The 19,484-nt window shown below is 42.3% G+C and overlaps 3 long non-coding RNA genes across 6 annotated transcripts in view, besides 1 other annotated feature; 1 reads left to right on the forward strand and 2 right to left on the reverse strand.

Moving 5' to 3' along the window:
- The window catches only part of MSRB3-AS1 (MSRB3 antisense RNA 1), a 175,556-nt gene that overhangs the window by 75,646 nt on the left and 80,426 nt on the right, over positions 1 to 19,484 (reverse strand). Inside the window, exon 5 of one of the 4 annotated variants that reach the window (NR_120434.1) lies at positions 15,437 to 16,352. The exons of the other annotated variants lie outside the window; for them this stretch is intronic. This is a non-coding gene — a long non-coding RNA (MSRB3 antisense RNA 1). Of the gene's footprint in view, positions 1 to 15,436; positions 16,353 to 19,484 lie in introns of those variants that run through there. 4 annotated transcript variants of the gene reach the window in all.
- Positions 1,776 to 14,849, reverse strand: LOC105369187 (uncharacterized). The gene is made up of 3 exons (NR_135033.1): positions 14,619 to 14,849; positions 14,296 to 14,535; positions 1,776 to 2,029 (listed from the first exon to the last, which is right to left on the reverse strand). It is a non-coding gene; the product is annotated as an uncharacterized LOC105369187 (long non-coding RNA).
- Positions 13,804 to 15,003: an enhancer, noted in NCBI's record as "BRD4-independent group 4 enhancer chr12:65950046-65951245 (GRCh37/hg19 assembly coordinates)". NCBI's record gives its function as "activates an origin of replication core promoter dependent on BRD2, P300/CBP, MED14 and CDK7 cofactors, and independent of BRD4, by STARR-seq in HCT116 cells {active_cell/tissue: HCT116}" and the evidence as "EXISTENCE:reporter gene assay evidence [ECO:0000049][PMID:35650434]".
- On the forward strand, positions 14,450 to 18,536 carry LOC105369808 (uncharacterized). Its single transcript, XR_945035.3, has 4 exons — positions 14,450 to 14,668; positions 16,008 to 16,209; positions 17,119 to 17,267; positions 17,510 to 18,536. It is a non-coding gene; the product is annotated as an uncharacterized LOC105369808 (long non-coding RNA).

The raw sequence follows: 19,484 nt of genomic DNA on the forward strand, positions 1-19,484 counted from the left end.
ATCAATCATTAAGTAGATTATATTTACATGAATAACCAAGACTTGATGCAATGTGTCAGCCTACTCAGCTCCTAGCCACAGGTCAGCAAGGATTTAATGTACAATCAACCTTCTCTCATTCTACAGAAATAAATGAAAAACTAGTCAACTAAGCAGCAGCTTCTCTGAGGTTTCTTGAGTAGAAGGGTGACCTGCCTGTTCCTCTACTGATGCAATAAAGAGTACCACTTTTTATGAACCCGTCTCTCCTTCCTTTCTTTCTTCCTTTTGGAAAGCTAGCACTGGCTGTGAACATTATGGTGACATTAGTTTATCAGAGGCCCTTACTATGCTTTTTTTTTTTTTTTTTTTTTTGAGACAAGGTCTCATTCTGTCATTAAGGCTGGAGAGCCGTGGTGCAATCACAGTTCACTGCAACCTTGAACTCCTGGGCTCAAATGATCCTCCTGCCACAGCCTCCCAAGGAGCTAGGACTGTAGGTGTACATCACCATGCCCAGCTATTTTTTTTTATTTTTTGTAGAGACAGGTCTCACTATATTGCCCAGGCTGGTCTCAAACTCCTGGGCTCAAGCAATCTTCCCACCTTGGCCTCCCAAAGCCCTGGGATTATAGGCATAAACCACTGAACCTGGCCCCTTACTATGCATTAAAACACTACTTTTGGCAAAAAAGCCCCCAAAGACAATCTTGAACTTGAGCAGGGAGTCTGACTGTGCACTGCATAAAATGGTGTTGAAAACTATGTGAGCACACATGCATATTTTTTGGGCTGGAGTTGGGAGAAGGGATGTGTCGTGCCACAAAGGGACTTGAAGCCAGAGCACAGTCAGACACCCACAGGCTGGGAATTCCTCTCTGCCTGGCCTCATTCAATCTACAAATTACTAAATGGGTAGAGTTACTAATACATGGTATGGCTTTGATGTGTGTAACATAAAAATGTTTCTAAACAACAAGACAGAGTTGAATAATTCATTTATTCTGATTTCTGTAGGTAGACCCACTGTTTTATCAGAGGGAATCAATACATGGTGGATACAGAGGTTAGAATTTAGAATTTTAATCCCAGCTGTGTCAAGGCATCATTAATTCATTTGTTAATTATCTCAACAAATACTTATCAAATGTCTACTATGTGTCAGACACTGTGCCAGACTCTGGAGATATAATGAAGAACAATGCAGACACAGCCTCTACTTTCTTGGAATTTATAAGTTGTATGCTGATAACCAAATAACTTTGTCTCTCTGAGAGTCATTTTTTCACCCGTAAAATGGGGTTGTAGCAAGGACTAAATGAGAAAATGCATGGGAAAGTGCTTTATAAATGCTAATGTTTTCTATATACTGAAGATCACACACACACACACGCACAATTGTCTTCCATTCATTGCAAAGTGTAATGAAAGATTAATGAAGTTGGATCAAAGAGAACATGACATAAATTAAATCGTCATATTTATCAAAAGGGGAGGTTGTGTGGAGACTTTCTTAGGAGTGAGTTAGGAACCTGAGGATGGCTAAGGCTTCCCTCGAGAGTTTTGGAAGGAGCTAGATTATAAATTATAAACCACCCTGAGTGTTTTTGATCCCCTTTGGTATGCACTCTTGGGCTTTTGGAGCAGTGCTTGGAGGATAATCTGAAAGGCTTCAAGGTCAAGGATGGAGAGAAGACAATGTAACAGCCCAGCACTGACCACCTGCAGAAATGCCTGGAGCAGGTTGGTCCCAGGAGCATCCTCTATGAGATCTCAGGAAGCAAGAAAAGGCTCTATGGAGGGAATGGCTTTTAATAGATACTTGGTGATCGGAGGAGAAAGACTGGCCTCAACTTCTCTTTCTCCATGCTGTTTTCTAAAATCATGCTGAGGTGCACTCTAGACAGGGTTGGGCATAGAGAGAGGCGAAGAAGATCAGAAACTCCAAGAGCCTCTTGTAATGACAGGCCATTGAGCTGGAGCCTGCACCTCAGCTGTCTGTGGCTCCTCCATCCTTTCTAGACCAAGGACATGTGTCAAGTACTTGTTACTGTAGAAGAATAAAGATGAGTGATGTGTTACTCTCTGAGGTGCTTAAATTATGACATCCAAAAAACAGAAAGTATTGTGACACCAGAAACAGAACCGGAATGACAAATTAATATCATAAACCCATTCATTTCATACATTTCCATTGCTGCTACCATTGGTGGAGCCACCATCAGCTCTTACCTAGGATACGGGCAAAGTCCTCTTTATTGATCTAATTTTTTTCTCTAGATTTCCTCAAATGCATTCTCCATACAAAAGCCAGCAGTTTTCATTTTTTCAGATAAATTCAGATTATGTCTCTTTCCTGTTTAAAACTATTCCACATCTTCTCTTTGCACTTGGAAGAAACCCCAGACCCTTTGCCTTGACCTAGAAGTCCCTTCATGATCTGGTCCCTAACATCTCATCAAAGATATCTCCTATATGTAACCTCTTACTCTATACCTCCAACCACACTGGCCTTTTCTTATCCCCCCAAACTTTCCAAGCTTCTTTCTGCCTCAGGACCATAGCATAGGGGCTGTTTCTTTAGACAGAAAGGCTCTTCCATAGCTGATCCTTCCCCTCAACTCCAAGAGGCCTCGCTAGCATCCTGACTGGGGCAAACCCTCCTCTGTTCTCTATTACAGAACTCTGGTTGCCTACTTCAAAGCACCTGTCCCGGGTTGTAATGCATGCACCTGTTTATTTGTTTGTCTGTCTCTTGGAATAAACTGCAAGATCCAGGTAGGGTAAATCTATGGTTACTCACCACACCCTTGCACTTGAAATTTAAGATGATGTAAAAAAATATTAAAGGAATAAATACAAGTTTGACTTTCTCCTTAATTTTTCTTACAGAAAGCAGGGATGATTGCATAGGGCATAACTTCCCCACACCTCCCTGCTTTTCCACATGCAGTTGCTTCTATCTGGGCTGCCTTTTCCCCTTGGCTGATCTCCAAATTCCTACTGATTCTGCTTCCAGAACCAACACCACACTTTCTCCTTCTGTGAAGTCTTCTCTTATATTCTCTCTTTTGTGTCTTCACACTATCACATAGACCTCTGTTTTGTAATTATGTGTGTATCTTCCTGTACTCCTTCCCTTTCATTGTGAACTCTCTGAGGACAAAAAGCTTATCTCATTCCTCTTTCCATTTTCAGCCCTAGTGCAGAACATGATATTCACATGATATACACATGCGTAGGGAGCCTACAGATTTTATACATGTCATAGAGAAGGGCCAGGGAAAGCTGGCCACTCCTTGGTGGCGATGCCTGCCCTTGGTTCCTCCTGCTGAACAAAGGATGGTCTGTGAACAGGAAGCATGGGATGCTCCCTCCCCGCCACCTGCCCCACTCAGAAGTGAAGGCAGCTTGTGCCCCGGCCAAAATAGGATTTCCCCATCCTTTGAAAGGAAAGCACTCTTCAGGCAGATTTTCAAGCTGAAACCATCCAGAACAAAAGCTGCTTCCAGCAGTGGCCAAGCAGACCAGCGCCCCTCTCCCTATGGCCCTAGTACAGTTACTGCCTAATGGGAGAGGGATGTAAAGGCTTCAGGTGAAACATCTGTTCAGGGTCACTGTCAGCCAGTAAGACAGAGACCTGTGAGCTTGCCAGTTGATTGCGTGGGGCAGCTAGAGGCGCCCAAGCAGCAGAGAAAGTGAGGAGGAGAAGAAGGAGGAGCAGCAGCAGCCCACAGCCTGTCAGGCCCTTTCTCACCACGTTTCCTTCCCCGCAGTGGCCACCATTGGATTCTGTTTAGCTCATGGTCGGGAACTCGGGCCCTTGAAAATGAGGCACTGTTCCCTGCCAGGTACAGAGAGTCTGAGAGGAAAGCTCTACATCTTCGAAGGCAATGTGAGCATCAAAACTGAATGTCTTTTAATTAACTTAGGTCCACATTTCTGCCAGACTTCTCAACTTTTTTTTAACATTCTCTCTCTTGACCTGCCTCCCAAGGACCCTCATGTTCTCCTGTCCATTTCATCCCTCTCCCCAAGGAGAGGACTGGGACACCCCAGCAACATTCCAGATCTTTCTATCTCTTTGCAAGCTGCTGAAAAGCAGCTGTTCGGACAACAGTTTCTGAGGTCCTGTGGAATGGAAGGCAACGCCTACCCAATGCTCAGGGACAAATTTAAAAAATAATAACAATAACAGCTACTTCTCCTGAAGGTCAAGAAAAAATTCAGTGGAACCAGTGGGAACTTCAAATCCTGAGGGAGGCCTTTGGAGCAGTCCTGCATTTAGTAATAATCCTTGAGTCACGGCCACACAGATGCTGCCTCCGGGCCTGATTTTCCTTTGAGGCCTTGGAGTACATACTCAGATGAACATGAGTTTAAAGTTTTTAAAGGTCCAGGTTGGCTAGTGAGTTGTCTATAAACTAGCTGCTGCCTAACAGAACAGACATTATCTTAATGGTACTGATAGATCTGGAGTGTCACACATCATTAAAATAGCTGATTGATTAGAAGAAAATAATTAGCTTGCCCTGTGTTGCTGGAAAGCCTTTTGGCATACCAAGAAGGAGATATGGAAGGGACGTGGGGTCATCCATCTTTTGATCATTTGTTCTCCATCCAAGGTGATGAAAAAGGTCCTGATAACCCTTAGGGAAGGGAAGGAATATAAACATGTCTTAGTTCTTCTCTGCCATTTACTCAGAGAGAAGCTATCTGTAGACTTTCTGGAGTGTGGTGTGTTTATTCCAGTTACATAGACACACTCCTTTAAATCAAACACTCTGTTAGTGCCTTGGAGTTGTAAATCAGTGGTTCTTTTCAAGTGACTTGATAGAATGTGATATTCTACTTTCCCTTGACAGGATATAAACATCGAAACCTAAATATTATAATCAAGTCCAGCCATTGGCAGGACCGTGAAGAAGGACGTGTAGATTCTAGTAGCTTTTCAATGTCCTTCTTGCGTTTCACAGTATCTATCTTCCTCTGGATGTTCAATAGTCATTCTCTTTCACTACTTGGGAGATAAGTTGACAAACTTATTTATATTCAGGAGTGATGTGGTTTAAGGCATTTTTATGTTCATAGACATTTGCACAAAGAACCTTGAGCCAAAGAGTGTCTCTGGGGAGGTATTTTGCTGGCATGATGGGCATTGCCAGTACCCTGGAAATCAAGTTGTCAAATTTGCAGGCCATCAGTACTCTGATGATAATACTACACTCTTAGAGAGGCTGGGGGCAGAGTAAGAGCATATCTGGATCACCTGGGGGCCTTTGGCTGACCCTGATATGCACCTCCTGCCTCCCTCCCCACCCCTTAGCCTCCAACATTACTTAAAAAAAGCCACTGCTACAGATGAAAGTATATTATGCTCAGATTAAAAAATAAAATGGGGAAACACCATTGGCCTGGATAACAGAGTCTGAGTTTGGGAGTTGACTGGAATTGGGCATTCTGACCCTTTTCAGCTGAGTGACCTTGGGTACATTACTTACTGTCCCCAAAACAATTGAACAAGATTGCCCTGAAACTTGCATAAAATAATGTAGGAGAAAATGTTTAGTCAGGCTGGGTGGGGTGGCTCACTCCTGTAATTCCAGCACTTTAGGAGGCCAGGTGGTCAGATCACTTGAAGTCAGGATTTCGAGACCAGCCTGGCCAACATGGGGAAACCCTGTCTCTAGTAAAAATATTTAATATAAAAAAATTAGTTGGGCATAGTGGTGAGTGCCTGTAATCCCACTTACTCGGGAGGCTGAGGCAGAAGAATCACTTGAGCCCAGGAGGTGGAGGTTGCAGTGAGCCAAGATCATGCCACTGTATTCCAGCCTGGGTGACTGAGTGAGACTCTGTCTCAAAAAAAAAAAAAAAAAAAGGAAAATGCTTAGCCAATAAATATTAGTTTTCTTCCCTTTTAAAATATAATCAGAAACTCTGAATTTCACATGAATATAATTTGTTGACATTAACTCCTAAACAATTTGTGCAACTTTTTTTTAACAATATAACATGATTAAATATTTTTTCCTAAACATATGAGTAATGCATCTTCATTGCAGAAATTTAGGTAATTTTTTCAAAAAAGAAAATCTATCAGCTTTCTTTAGGCAGAATCACTCATTTTTTTTTAAATTATTTTTTGGTGCATTTGCCCCTGCACTTCCCCACCCACCGATCCTGGGCTTTTTTATAATGTTTGCTGTCACACTGCACCTTCTGTCTTGTTGACTTCTTTTCTCCTTTAATACATCATAAGCATTTTTCCATGATATTAAACATGCAGTGTGTGTGTGTGTGTGTGTGTGTGTGTGTGTGTGTTATGGTTGCTGCCATCACTGGACAGCCCATTCTTGGCAAGACCTTGAGTCCTTTTTTGAATTTTTGTCATATGGCTGGATATGGAAGTAAGGATGTAGGATAGTGGTGAATTTTATCTTCACCTATAGAGATGCATATCAGGGTCAGCCAAAGTTCTCCTTCCACTGACCAGATGTTCCTTCTGCCTTCAGTGACAAAAGGCCACATTTCAAATGCAGTTATTGGAAAGGGTCCTTTGATCCCCACAACTGGCCCCAGGGCAATGTAGAGTTGTGGCATAAGTGGTTTTTGAATGAATAAATGTATGCATGAAGGAAGAGTCATACCATTCATTTAGAAATAGGGATGCTAGGTGGGTTTGAATTCTCAGCATGGCATTATGGGTAATTTTTAGCTTTCATTTTTATGTTACATCTCTGTGCCTCCATTTCATTACCTGCAAGATAGAAATAATAATAGTCTCTACCTCATGGAGTTGGCAGGGTGTTATATGAATGAATACACGTGAAGTGACTTTCAACATTGCCTGGCAAAAAGAGAGTGCTCTGTAAACCATAGCTCATCATCGTCATCATCATCATCTTCATTATGTGCTTTACAATATATTCCAACATTTTTTCAGTGAGCCCAGCCAGTCATACACACAATTTTTTTTTTATACTTTAAGTTTTAGGGTACATGTGCACAACGTGCAGGTTAGTTACATATGTATACACGTGCCATGTTGGTGTGATGCACCCACTAACTCGTCATCTAGCATTAGGTATATCTCCCAATGCTATCCCTCCCCGCTCCCCCCACCCTACAACAGTCCCCAGAGTGTGATGTTCCCCTTCCTGTGTCCATGTGTTCTCATTGTTCAATTCCCACCTATGAGTGAGAATATGCGGTGTTTGGTTTTTTGTTCTTGCGATAGTTTACTGAGAATGATGATTTCCAATTTCATCCATGTCCCTACAAAGGACATGAACTCATCATTTTTTATGGCTGCATAGTATTCCATGGTGTATATGTGCCACATTTTCTTAATCCAGTCTATCATTGTTGGACATTTGGGTTGGTTCCAAGTCTTTGCTACTGTGAATAATGCCACAATAAACATACGTGTGCATGTGTCTTTATAGCAGCATGACTTATAGTCCTTTGGGTATATACCCAGTAATGGGATGGCTGGGTCAAATGGTATTTCTAGTCCTAGATCCCTGAGGAATCGCCACACTGACTTCCACAATGGTTGAACTAGTTTACAGTCCCACCAACAGTGTTAAAAGTGTTCCTATTTCTCCACATCCTCTCCAGCACCTGTTGTTTCCTGACTTTTGAATGATTGCCATTCTAACTGGTGTGAAATGGTATCTCATTGTGGTTTTGATTTGCATTTCTCTGATGACCAGTGATGGTGAGCATTTTTTCATGTGTTTTTTGGCTGTATAAATGACTTCTTTTGAGAAGTGTCTGTTCATGTCCTTTGCCCACTTTTTGATGGGTTTGTTTGTTTTTTTCTTGTAAATTTGTTTTAGTTCTTTGTAGATTCTGGATATTAATTAGCCCTTTGTCAGATGAGTAGGTTGCGAAAATTTTTTCCCATTTTGTAGGTTGCCTGTTCACTCTGATGGTAGTTTCTTTTGCTGTGCAGAAGCTCTTTAGTTTAATGAGATCCCATTTGTCAATTTTGGCTTTTGTTGCCATTGCTTTTGGTGTTTTAGACATGAAGTCCTTGCCCATGCCTATGTCCTGAATGGTAATGCCTAGGTTTTCTTCTAGGGTTTTTATGGTTTTAGGTCTAACGTTTAAGTCTTTAATCCATCTTGAATGGATTTTTGTATAAGGTGTAAGGAAGGGATCCAGTTTCAGCTTTCTACATATGGCTAGCCAGTTTTCCCAGCACCATTTATTAAATAGGGAATCCTTTCCCCATTGCTTGTTTTTCTCAGGTTTGTCAAAGATCAGATAGTTGTAGATATGCGGCGTTATTTCTGAGGGCTCTGTTCTGTTCCATTGATCTATATCTCTGTTTTGGTACCAGTACCATGCTGTTTTGGTTACTGTAGCCTTGTAGTATAGTTTGAAGTCAGGTAGTGTGATGCCTCCAGCTTTGTTCTTTTGGCTTAGGATTGACTTGGCGATGCGGGCTCTTTTTTGGTTCCATATGAACTTTAAAGTAGTTTTTTCCAATTCTGTGAAGAAAGTCATTGGTAGCTTGATGGGGATGGCATTGAATCTGTAAATTACCTTGGGCAGTATGGCCATTTTCACGATATTGATTCTTCCTACCCATGAGCATGGAATGTTCTTCCATTTGTTTGTATCCTCTTTTATTTCACTGAGCAGTGGTTTGTAGTTCTCCTTGAAGAGGTCCTTCACATCCCTTGTAAGTTGGATTCCTAGGTATTTTATTCTCTTTGAAGCAATTGTGAATGGGAGTTCACTCATGATTTGGCTCTCTGTTTGTCTGTTATTGGTGTATAAGAATGTTTGTGATTTTTGTACATTGATTTTGTATCCTGAGACTTTGCTGAAGTTGCCTATCAGCTTAAGGAGATTTTGGGCTGAGACAATGGGGTTTTCTAGATATACAATCATGTCGTCTGCAAACAGGGACAATTTGACTTCATCTTTTCCTAATTGAATACCCTTTATTTCCTTCTCCTGTCTGATTGCCCTGGCCAGAACTTCCAATACTATGTTGAATAGGAGTGGTGAGAGAGGGCATCCCTGTCTTGTGCCAGTTTTCAAAGGGAATGCTTCCAGTTTTTGCCCATTCAGTATGATATTGGCTGTGGGTTTGTCATAGATAGCTCTTATTATTTTGAGATATGTCCCATCAATACCTAATTTATTGAGAGTTTTTAGCATGAAGGGCCATTGAATTTTGTCAAAGGCCTTTTCTGCATCTATTGAGATAATCATGTGGTTTTTGTCTTTGGTTCTGTTTATATGCTGGATTACATTTATTGATTTGCATATATTGAACCAGCCTTGCATCTCAGGGATGAAGCCCACTTGATCATGGTGGATAAGCTTTTTGATGTGCTGCTGGATTTGGTTTGCCAGTATTTTATTGAGGATTTTTGCATCAATTTCATCAAGGATATTTGTCTAAAATTCTCCTTTTTTGTTGTGTCTCTGCCAGGCTTTGGTATCAGGATGATGCTGGCCTTATAAAATGAGTTAGGGAGGATTCCCTCTTTTTCTATTGATTGGAATAGTTTCAGAAGGAATGGTACCAGTTCCTCCTTGTACCTGTGGTAGAATTCGGCTGTGAATCCATCTGGTCCTGGACTCTTTTTTGTTGGTAAGCTATTGATTATTGCCACAATTTCAGCTCCTGTTATTGGTCTATTCAGAGATTCAACTTCTTCCTGGTTTAGTCTTGGGAGAGTGTATGTGTCGAGGAATTTATCCATTTCTTCTAGATTTTCTAGTTTATTTGCATAGAGGTGTTTGTAGTATTCTCTGATGGTAGTTTGTATTTCTGTGGGATCGGTGGTGATATCCCCTTTATCATTTTTTATTGTGTCTATTTGATTCTTCTCTCTTTTTTTCTTTGCTAGTCTTGCTAGCAAAGGATCAATTTTGTTGATCCTTTCAAAAAACCAGCTCCTGGATTCATTAATTTTTTGAAGGGTTTTTTGTGTCTCTATTTCCTTCAGTTCTGCTCTGATTTTAGTTATTTCTTGCCTTCTGCTAGCTTTTGAATGTGTTTGCTCTTGCTTTTCTAGTTCTTTTAATTGTGATGTTAGGGTGTCAATTTTGGATCTTTCCTGCTTTCTCTTGTGGGCATTTAGTGCTATAAATTTCCCTCTACACACTGCTTTGAATGTGTCCCAGAGATTCTGGTATGTTGTGTCTTTGTTCTCATTGGCTTCAAAGAACATCTTTATTTCTGCCTTCATTTCGTTATGTATCCAGTAGTCATTCAGGAGCAGGTTGTTCAGTTTCCATGTAGTTGAGCGGTTTTGAGTGAGATTCTTAATCCTGAGTTCTAGTTTGATTGCACTGTGGTCTGAGAGATAGTTTGTTATAATTTCTGTTCTTTTACATTTGCTGAGGAGAGCTTTACTTCCAACTATGTGGTCAATTTTGGAATAGGTGTGGTGTGGTGCTGAAAAAAATGTTTATTCTGTTGATTTGGGGTGGAGAGTTCTGTAGATGTGTATTAGGTCCGCTTGGTGCAGAGCTGAGTTCAATTCCTGGGTATCCTTGTTGACTTTCTGTCTCGTTGATTTGTCTAATGTTGACAGTGGGGTGTTAAAGTCTCCCATTATTAATGTGTGGGAGTCTAAGTCTCTTTGTAGGTCACTCAGGACTTGCTTTATGAATCTGGGTGCTCCTGTATTGGGTGCATATATATTTAGGATAGTTAGCTCTTCTTGTTGAATTGATCCCTTTACCATTAAGTAATGGCCTTCTTTGTCTCTTTTGATCTTTGTTGGTTTAAAGTCTGTTTTATCAGAGACTAGGATTGCAACCCTTGCCTTTTTTTGTTTTCCATTTGCTTGGTAGATCTTCCTCCATCCTTTTATTTTGAGCCTATGTGTGTCTCTGCCCGTGAGATGGGTTTCCTGAATACAGCACACTGATGGGTCTTGACTCTTTATCCAATTTGCCAGTCTGTGTCTTTTAATTGGAGCATTCGGTCCATTTACATTTAAAGTTAATATTGTTATGTGTGAATTTGATCCTGTCATTATGATGTTAGCTGGTTAGTTTGCTCGTTAGTTGATGCAGTTTCTTCCTAGTCTCGATGGTCTTTACATTTTGGCATGATTTTGCAGCGGCTGGTACCGGTTTTTCCTTTCCATATTTAGTGCTTCCTTCAGGAGCTCTTTTAGGGCAGGCCTGGTGGTGACAAAATCTCTCAGCATTTGCTTGTCTGTAAAGGATTTTATTTCTCCTTCACTTATGAAGCTTAGTTTGGCTGGATATGGAATTCTGGGTTGAAAATTCTTTTCTTTAAGAATGTTGAATATTGGCCCCCACTCTCTTCTGGCTTGTAGAGTTTCTGCTGAGAGATCCGCTGTTAGTCTGATGGGCTTCCCTTTGAGGGTAACCCGACCTTTCTCTCTGGCTGCCCTTAACATTTTTTCCTTCATTTCAACTTTGGTGAATCTGACAATTATGTGTCTTGGTGTTGCTCTTCTCAAGGAGTATCTTTGTGGCATTCTCTGTATTTCCTGAATCTGAATGTTGGCCTGCCTTGCTAGATTGGGGAAGTTCTCCTGGATAATATCCTGCAGAGTGTTTTCCAACTTGGTTCCATTCTCCCTGTCACTTTCAGGTACACCAATCAGACGTAGATTTGGTCTTTTCACATAGTCCCATATTTCTTGGAGGCTTTGCTTCTTCCTTTTTATTCTTTTTTCTCTAAACTTCCCTTCTCACTTCATTTCATTCATTTCATCTTCCATCGCTGATACCCTTTCTTCCAGTTGATCACATCAGCTCCTGAGGCTTCTGCATTCTTCACATAGTTCTCGAGCCTTGGTTTTCAGCTCCATCAGCTCCTTTAAGCACTTCTCTGTATTGTTTATTGTAGTTATACATTCTTCTAAATTTTTTTCAAAATGTTCAACTTCTTTGCCTTTGGTTTGAATGTCCTCCCGTAGCTCGGAGTAATTTGATTGTCTGAAGCCTTCTTCTCTCAGCTCGTCAAAGTCATTCTCCATCCAGCTTTGTTCCATTGCTGGTGAGGAACTGCGTTCCTTTGGAGGAGGAGAGGTGCTCTGCTTTTTAGAGTTTCCAGTTTTTCTGCTCTGTTTTTTCCCCATCTTTGTGGTTTTATCTACTTTTGGTCTTTGATGATGGTGATGTACAGATGGGTTTTTGGTGTGGATGTCCTTTCTGTTTGTTAGTTTTCCTTCTAACAGACAGGACCCTCAGCTGCAGGTCTGTTGGAGTACCCAGCCGGGTGAGGTGTCAGTCTGCCCCTGCTGGGGGGTGCCTCCCAGTTAGGCTGCTCGGGGGTCAGGGGTCAGGGACCCACTTGAGGAGGCAGTCTGCCTGTGCTGGGAGAACCACTGCTCTCTTCAAAGCTGTCAGACAGGGACATTTAAGTCTGCAGAGGTTACTGCTTTTTGTTTGTCTGTGCCCTGCCCCCAGAGGTGGAGCCTACAGAGGCAGGCAGGCCTCCTTGAGCTGTGGTGGGCTCCACCCAGTTCGAGCTTCCAGGCTGCTTTGTTTACCTAAGCAAGCCTGGGCAATGGTGGGTGCCCCTCCCCCAGCCTCGCTGCCACCTTGCAGTTTGATCTCAGACTGCTGTGCTAGCAATCAGTGAGACTCCGTGGGCGTAGGACCCTCTGAGCCAGATGCAGGATATAATCTCCTGGTGCGCCGTTTTTTTTTTTTTGTTGTTTGTTTTTTTTTTTTTTTGAGATGGAGTCTCGCTCTGTCGCCCAGGCTGGAGTGCAGTGGCGGGATCTCGGCTCACTGCAAGCTCTGCCTCCCAGGTTCACGCCATTCTCCTGCCTCAGCCTCCCAAGTAGCTGGGACTACAGGCGCCCGCCACTACGCCCGGCTAATTTTTTGTATTTTTAGTAGAGACGGGGTTTCACCATTTTAGCCGGGATGGTCTCGATCTCCTGACCTCGTGATCCGCCCGCCTCGGCCTCCCAAAGTGCTGGGATTACAGGCGTGAGCCACCGCGCCCGGCCCGGTGCGCCAGTTTTTAAGCCCGTTGGAAAAGCGCAGTATTCGGGAGTGACCCGATTTTCCAGGTGCCGTCTGTCACCACTTTCTTTGACTAGGAAAGGGAACTCCCTGACCCCTTGGGCTTCCTGAGAGAGGCAAAGCCTCGCCCTGCTTCGGCTCGCGCATGGTGCGTGCACCCACTGACCTGTGCCCACTGTCTGGCACTCCCTAGTGAGATGAACCTGGTACCTCAGATGGAAATGCAGAAATCACCCATCTTCTGCATCGCTCACGCTGGGAGCTGTAGGCTGGAGCTGTTCCTATTTGGCCATCTTGGCTCCTCCCACACAATGTTTTTTAAACAGTTTTTTTTTTAAAGAAAGTACATGTAGGCATGAGAAGACAGCATCTTAGGACAGTAAAGTAAAACAGGGTTAAGAGATTGGCTAGATACCAGGAAAAAGAAGTTCTAACAGAGACAGCAAGGGATAGGAAAGAAAACAAGGAAGGGAGAAAGGAAAACAGTGAGAAAGGAGGGAGCAAATTATGGGCAGACCAGAATTCAGCACAGGAAGGGCCAGGTATGCAAGTTTGAAAAATGCACCATGGGACTTGACTGTGTAGTGAAGACTGAGACCCGCTACTCTAGGACGTTGAGGAGGAAGCTTCATAGAATGCTCTGCTGCTTCCTGTCCTGTTACCCAATCAGGAAAGGGGAGGGGATCAGGGGTGGTGAGAAGGGAATAAGGGCAGGAATTATGAGAAAACTGAAACATGGAAAGGTAAATCAACTTGTGAAGAAAGGTCTCTTGGCTCGTTGCTGGCAACACTGGATCTAGAACTCCGCTTTCAGGGTGTCCGAATTCGTTCTCAATACTTCTCCACCCCTGTCTGCCAGTTTCTCTCTGTACTTGGAGACCTAAATACAAAAACTGGCTCCAGAATTTGAAATCTATGCCTTAGCTTTTTTAGGGTGACCATAAGTTGAGGGAGGAACAAGGATGCTGGTCAAAGTTCCCATCAGTGACCTGCGGAAAATTGGAAAATATCAGGTACCACCACTTCCTCCCTTCCCACAAGTCTTCTAGACCTCTCTCTCTTTGCAAAGAGTCGTCAGAGAAGGTTCCAAGCCAACTGCTTAATGAATTAATAGCCCTTATTCCACTGTACAAAATGTAAGAGAAAGAATCCATTAGTAATTAGTCTAGTTCATGTTTCTAGAAGCGCTATTTTCTTCCCATGACAAAACTTCAAAACACCAGAGAAAATAAGTAGGAAGGTCTCTGTGGTTATGCACTTTAAGTGAATGATGACAATTTTGAGATACGTGCCAAAATAGGAGAGTCTTCATTTTCCTCATACCTGTTAAGGTAGTGGTCTGGACTTGTTCACGCCTACACCTGAAGCAGAGGGACGGCCTGTCGGAGCTCAGTCAAGTAGGCGAGTGCTCTTTGTTCCCCCGTGGCCTCTGAAGTTACTCTAGAGCTATGCAGCTCAAGGCCAGCAGATGGCGCGTGGCGTCAGGCTGCGAGATAGCGCCGAGACAGCATGGACGCCGGGAGCCTGGGAAAGCCAACTGTACCACAGGAGTCTAAACTGTAGCTAGGAATAGAAGTACGCTCATTTTAGCTATTAGAAGGTTTGCCTGATACTCTGGCTCTTTATTTCGAGGATGTCTAGCTCACCTGTGATATAACTCAGACCCCATTTCACTCATTTCTTAAACTAGGAATGGGTAAGTCTCACCATTCTTCTCTGCTTGTTTAGGACACTCTTGAGAACCTCCTAAAATGCTGTGGAATGGAACAGCGGGACAGACCAGAAGTACATTCTGGGGAGAAGAGAATAAAAACACCATTCCTTGAGAGTGGAAGTGTCAGAGGCGTTCAAACCAGAGCGACTCCATCTTGAGTAGGGGCTCGGTAAAATGAGAATGAGACCTGCTGGGCAGCATTCCCAGGAGGTTAGACATTCTTAGCCACAGGATGAGATAGGAGGTCGGCAGGATTGATATCACAAGATACGGGTCATAAAGACCCTGGTGATAAAACAGGATGCCATAAAGAAGCCGGCCAAAACCAAGATGGTGATGAAAGTGACCTCTGGTCATCCTCACTGCTCATTGTACGTTAATTATAATGCATTAGCAGGCTAATAGACACTCTCAGCAGTGCCATGACAGTTTACAAATGCCATGGCAACACCCAAGTTACCTTATATGGTCTAAAAAGGGGAGGAACCCTCAGTTTTGGGAACCTCCCCTTTCCCAGAAAACTTATGAATAATCTACCCCTTGTTTAGCATATGATCAAGAAATAACCATAAAAATGTCCAACCAGCAGCCCTCAGGGCTCTCTGTCTATGGGGTAGCCATCCTTTTGTTTCTTTACTTCTCTGATAAACTTGCTTTCACTTTATGGACTCCTGAATTCTTTCTTGCACAAGATCCAAGAACCCTCTCTTGGGGTCTGGATCAGGATCCCTTTCCAGTAACAGAAGCAGATGATCATACAATCCACTTTATTGTCCTTCCCCAGCCCACAATCGAGTTTCCTGGAATCATAGTACAGTTTCCTAGAAGGCCTACTGCTGGCATATAGTTAGAGATAGCTGACAACATCTCTTAGGTTTTGAAAATAGATTACTTGTACACTTATCAAGCAGATTTTAACTTAATCTAATTGTTTTCAGTCCAGCACCTTGGCCTGGTGTCACTGAGCCTGGAACTTCTCTAGAGAATAAACTTCAAGTTTTCTAAGGGAAGAGGGGAGGAGAACAGAAGGGTGGAGGGATAATTGTCTGGCTGTATGGGGGTGGATGAGGGAACCTAGAGGTTAAACTGCTCTGCCTTCCAGAGACCTTCAACCAAACCAAGTTTCAGCCCCATGCTTCAGCCTCATTTTCTATAGTACTTAGTGCCTCTAAGGCCTGAATCTTTCTGGGGCTCTAAAGGGAAAATTGTCTTTTTTTTTTTTAAAAAAAATCAATATTTTCTTTAGCAGATACCTGTCATTCTGTTAAACCCCTGCTGTACATTTTCTTTGTTTCCCACATTGTGAGTTTTATTTTTCCAGGGCAGAATTTCCCAGCATCTCTTCCAGCTCCCAGGGAGAAGGTCTGGGACCTATGTTCTACCAACCAAATACACTCTCATGAAGCTCTCATTTGGAAGTCAGCAACATGCAGACACAGACTGGGTTCTGAGCATCTATGGTGCAGATGAAGATGATGGCAGGAGCTGTGGAGGCAGTAGAATCCTCATCAAGCCACTTCTGTGTGAGATGCCGGGCTGTGTTCCTATGAGCTTAGCCTTGAGCTTCTTTTTTGCCAGACCTCCCAATGAATCACCGAGCACCTAATAACTCCCAGTAATTTCCTTTTATGCTCAAACCAGCCCAAATGGTTTCTATAGTTTGCAACTAAAGGGGAAAAAAAGGAAGAAAGAAAAGAGACTAATTAATTTCATCCATGAAAGTAGGGTCAATCTAAAATCTATAAGAATCAAAAATGCAGAATTGGGCTCAATGCAGGCAGGAAGACAGAAGGCAAAATGTATTTTGTTATGTACAAAGTACTATATATGGTACAACTTGCCAATACTACCTTCCCAAGGCAGGTGTTATTTGACTGTGGCCACAACCCAATATGGAGAGAAGCTCCATGACATGGAGCACTGAAACACTGACAAGGCCAACTGCTTCTTTATCTGCACCAAAGAAGCAGAAATAGTGACTTCAAAGTAGCAACCTTAGCCAGAAAGACCCTAAGTCCTTCTCCCATTATTATTATCATTATTATTATTACTATCATTTTGTAAGGCATGCCCACTGGGCCCTCTCCCATTATTTAAGGATTATCTGCAAGACACCTTGGACCCATTAAAAAAGTTCAGATTCAGGGGAGTGTTTCCCATGAGAAGCTATGATTTCAAATTGTCTCAAAGAAGTAGCCATTGAAGAAGAACTAGAAAAGGATAGATCAGTGATGTTGGAAGTAAAGGGGGAAGGATCTTCAGGTTTAAAGACTGTGGACACAGCATCTTTGGCTGTGTCTACACACATATGCAATTGATAGGAAGCAAATAGAACAGAAGCCAACTAAGATTTTTAGGAAACCACATTGTCAAAGACACCTCAAGCCTGCCTGAAAACAGTGTATAATTTTTATTTTTAAAACAAATTCCAGGCCTCTAGACCTGCAGTAGCATGAAGAGGTCTGAGGAAGCTGTGCGTCCCTCAAGAAAGCAATTCTTTATTGCCCATCAAAGATGAATCCATAGGGGATCATTAACAAGGAGATCATCCCAGAGAGCAGCTTCTAGAATCACCAACCAAGTAAGTCTCATTGCTATCCCTATACACCAAGGTTTGCTATTTGCTACTCATTCACAACTGTTGAGTGTTTCCCATTCTTCTATGTTTTAAACTGAAAGTTTAAAAAAAATTCTTGGTTATCCCGTTTCTTCTTTACATTTGCATAATGGGGAGTGGGTGTTGGGAGATAGCTTGTCTTTGAGCTTTGGGCTTTTAGTAGCAATAGTTTTTTTTAACAATTAGCATTACCGTTACTATTTAAGACAGAAGATTTGTCAGAAGAACAAAGACCTCAAAATGAGAAGGAATGTGTTCTGGACTTAAAACATTGCTCAGGTATCTTAGCAAGGACTGAGACCTTGGAGGTCTCCAAATACCAGTAAGAATCATTGTGTTATCCTCTTTCTCACATGTTGGATTTTTTTTTTTTTTTTTACTTGTGATTGATGAACTGGGAGAAAGGAAGTGGTCTAGAAAGGGTGAGAGTGGGTGGGTAGATAGGATACAGGTGGCCTCACCTGGAGAGTGGTCACCTGTGAACAGAAGCCATGTTGAACTCCCTGCACTGCCTCTTCTTCTCTGTTCCTTGCAATGACCTTTAGCTGGACTCAGTCAAAACGGCGCTGTCCTTCCCCTTCCCAACCTAAAGCTTATAGTGCAGTTAATCTAGAGGTCAGCTGAAGTGCAGATTCAAGTGGCTCAAACCCCTTTGCAGTATAGGGAAGGAGTCTGGAATAGGGAAAGGATGGGTTGGGGGTGAAGATGGGAGTTGCTCATGGCTTCCCTAATTAGCTCTGATTCAGAGCTCAGACTTCTGTTATCATTTCCTACCCACAAGTGCTGTCTTATTCCTTTGGTTTCCTTCATTTCTATTCAGCCTCATGAAATAAAGAAATAAAGAAAACAAACAAGTAAATAAAAACAAGATCTTTATGGATGTGGCAGAAAGCTTTGCAAGCCAAGAAAGTCTTCTATCCAGGTGATGCAAATAACTGTAAAACTTCAGACTTCTTGAACTACAAAGATGAACTCTGCCAACCCAAGTTCTAGTACTTCCTCTACTCCCAGCCTGACCCCCACTGTTTCTTGGTTTCCTCACTCCTTCTCTTTCTGTTTGACTCTTGAGAGTAATAAACTCAGCCAAGTCCTACTACTTGAGCCCATATTTAAATGCAGAACAATTTGGCCTTCAGTTTATTCTTCCCCCTTCTTCCAGACTCTGGTCTGATTTATCTTTTTATACTCTATAGCCTATTAGGGTTTTATAATAAAGGCTATCCTTCTCTAAGATTTCCAATGTAGCTATTATCCTTTAACCCTTCTGCACAGTTAACAAAACCAGTTGTTACTTTTTTTGGTGGGGGGTGGGGGTGGTTGTTTAGCATTTAGTGATTATTAAAATGACTACTGTTTCAGCAAAAAGTATTCATAAAAAAACTCAAAAAATTCAGAAAAGTACAAAGGAGAAATTGAATAATCTGTAGCATCTCAAACTCAGTATATGTCTAAGGACAGTCTCTGTTCTCCCCTGGTCTTATTCACGCCCTTCAAGCCCTTCTCTCTAATCAAGGAACAATTGGCTTGACTTTTCTAGCTTACCTCACTTAATTTTAGAGAAATATATATCCTGTTTGAGATCCAAAGAGGCATTTGTCAGCATTAAGGGTCTCCCTTATCTCCATCCATGCTCACAATATTTGGCAGGTATACTTCAGAGTTTGTGGTTTGGGATTATAGCTGTTTCCTCACTTCATTCATGATAGGGAGATGTTTTGTCCTTCTATTTTTGTTCCATTTATTGTTTTCATTGGATTTTTAGAAAGGGGAATGGCATAAGTGTTTTTACTCTGCTGTCTTTAACAAGAAGACTTACTTTTCAAAATAATTATTTGTCTGCTTTTAATTTTCTACTTCAAGAAAACGTTAAGGAAAGAATGTATAGCATTCTAGTTAATTTTCAGTTGCTTAGGTGCCTGATAAAGAGAAGCTTCCCTAAACAGCAGCCAGTTCTGTTCTGAAGATGGCCTTCCCATGGCACCAGTACCCTGGTTAGAATTTTCCCAGGGAGAGATGGCCTAGCTTCATGGGAGCTATCACCATAGATTGCCCATGCTGAGAGAACAGACCACAAACTACACCAGCTGCAGACACTTACACAGCACATGTAGGGAGAACAGAGGCTGATGCCCAAAGAACGAGAGGGATTGTACCTCAGCTGCACAGCAGCAGCAACCTGCA

This window comes from Homo sapiens, chromosome 12 (genome assembly GCF_000001405.40).
Source record: "Homo sapiens chromosome 12, GRCh38.p14 Primary Assembly".
Lineage (NCBI taxonomy): Eukaryota > Metazoa > Chordata > Mammalia > Primates > Hominidae > Homo > Homo sapiens.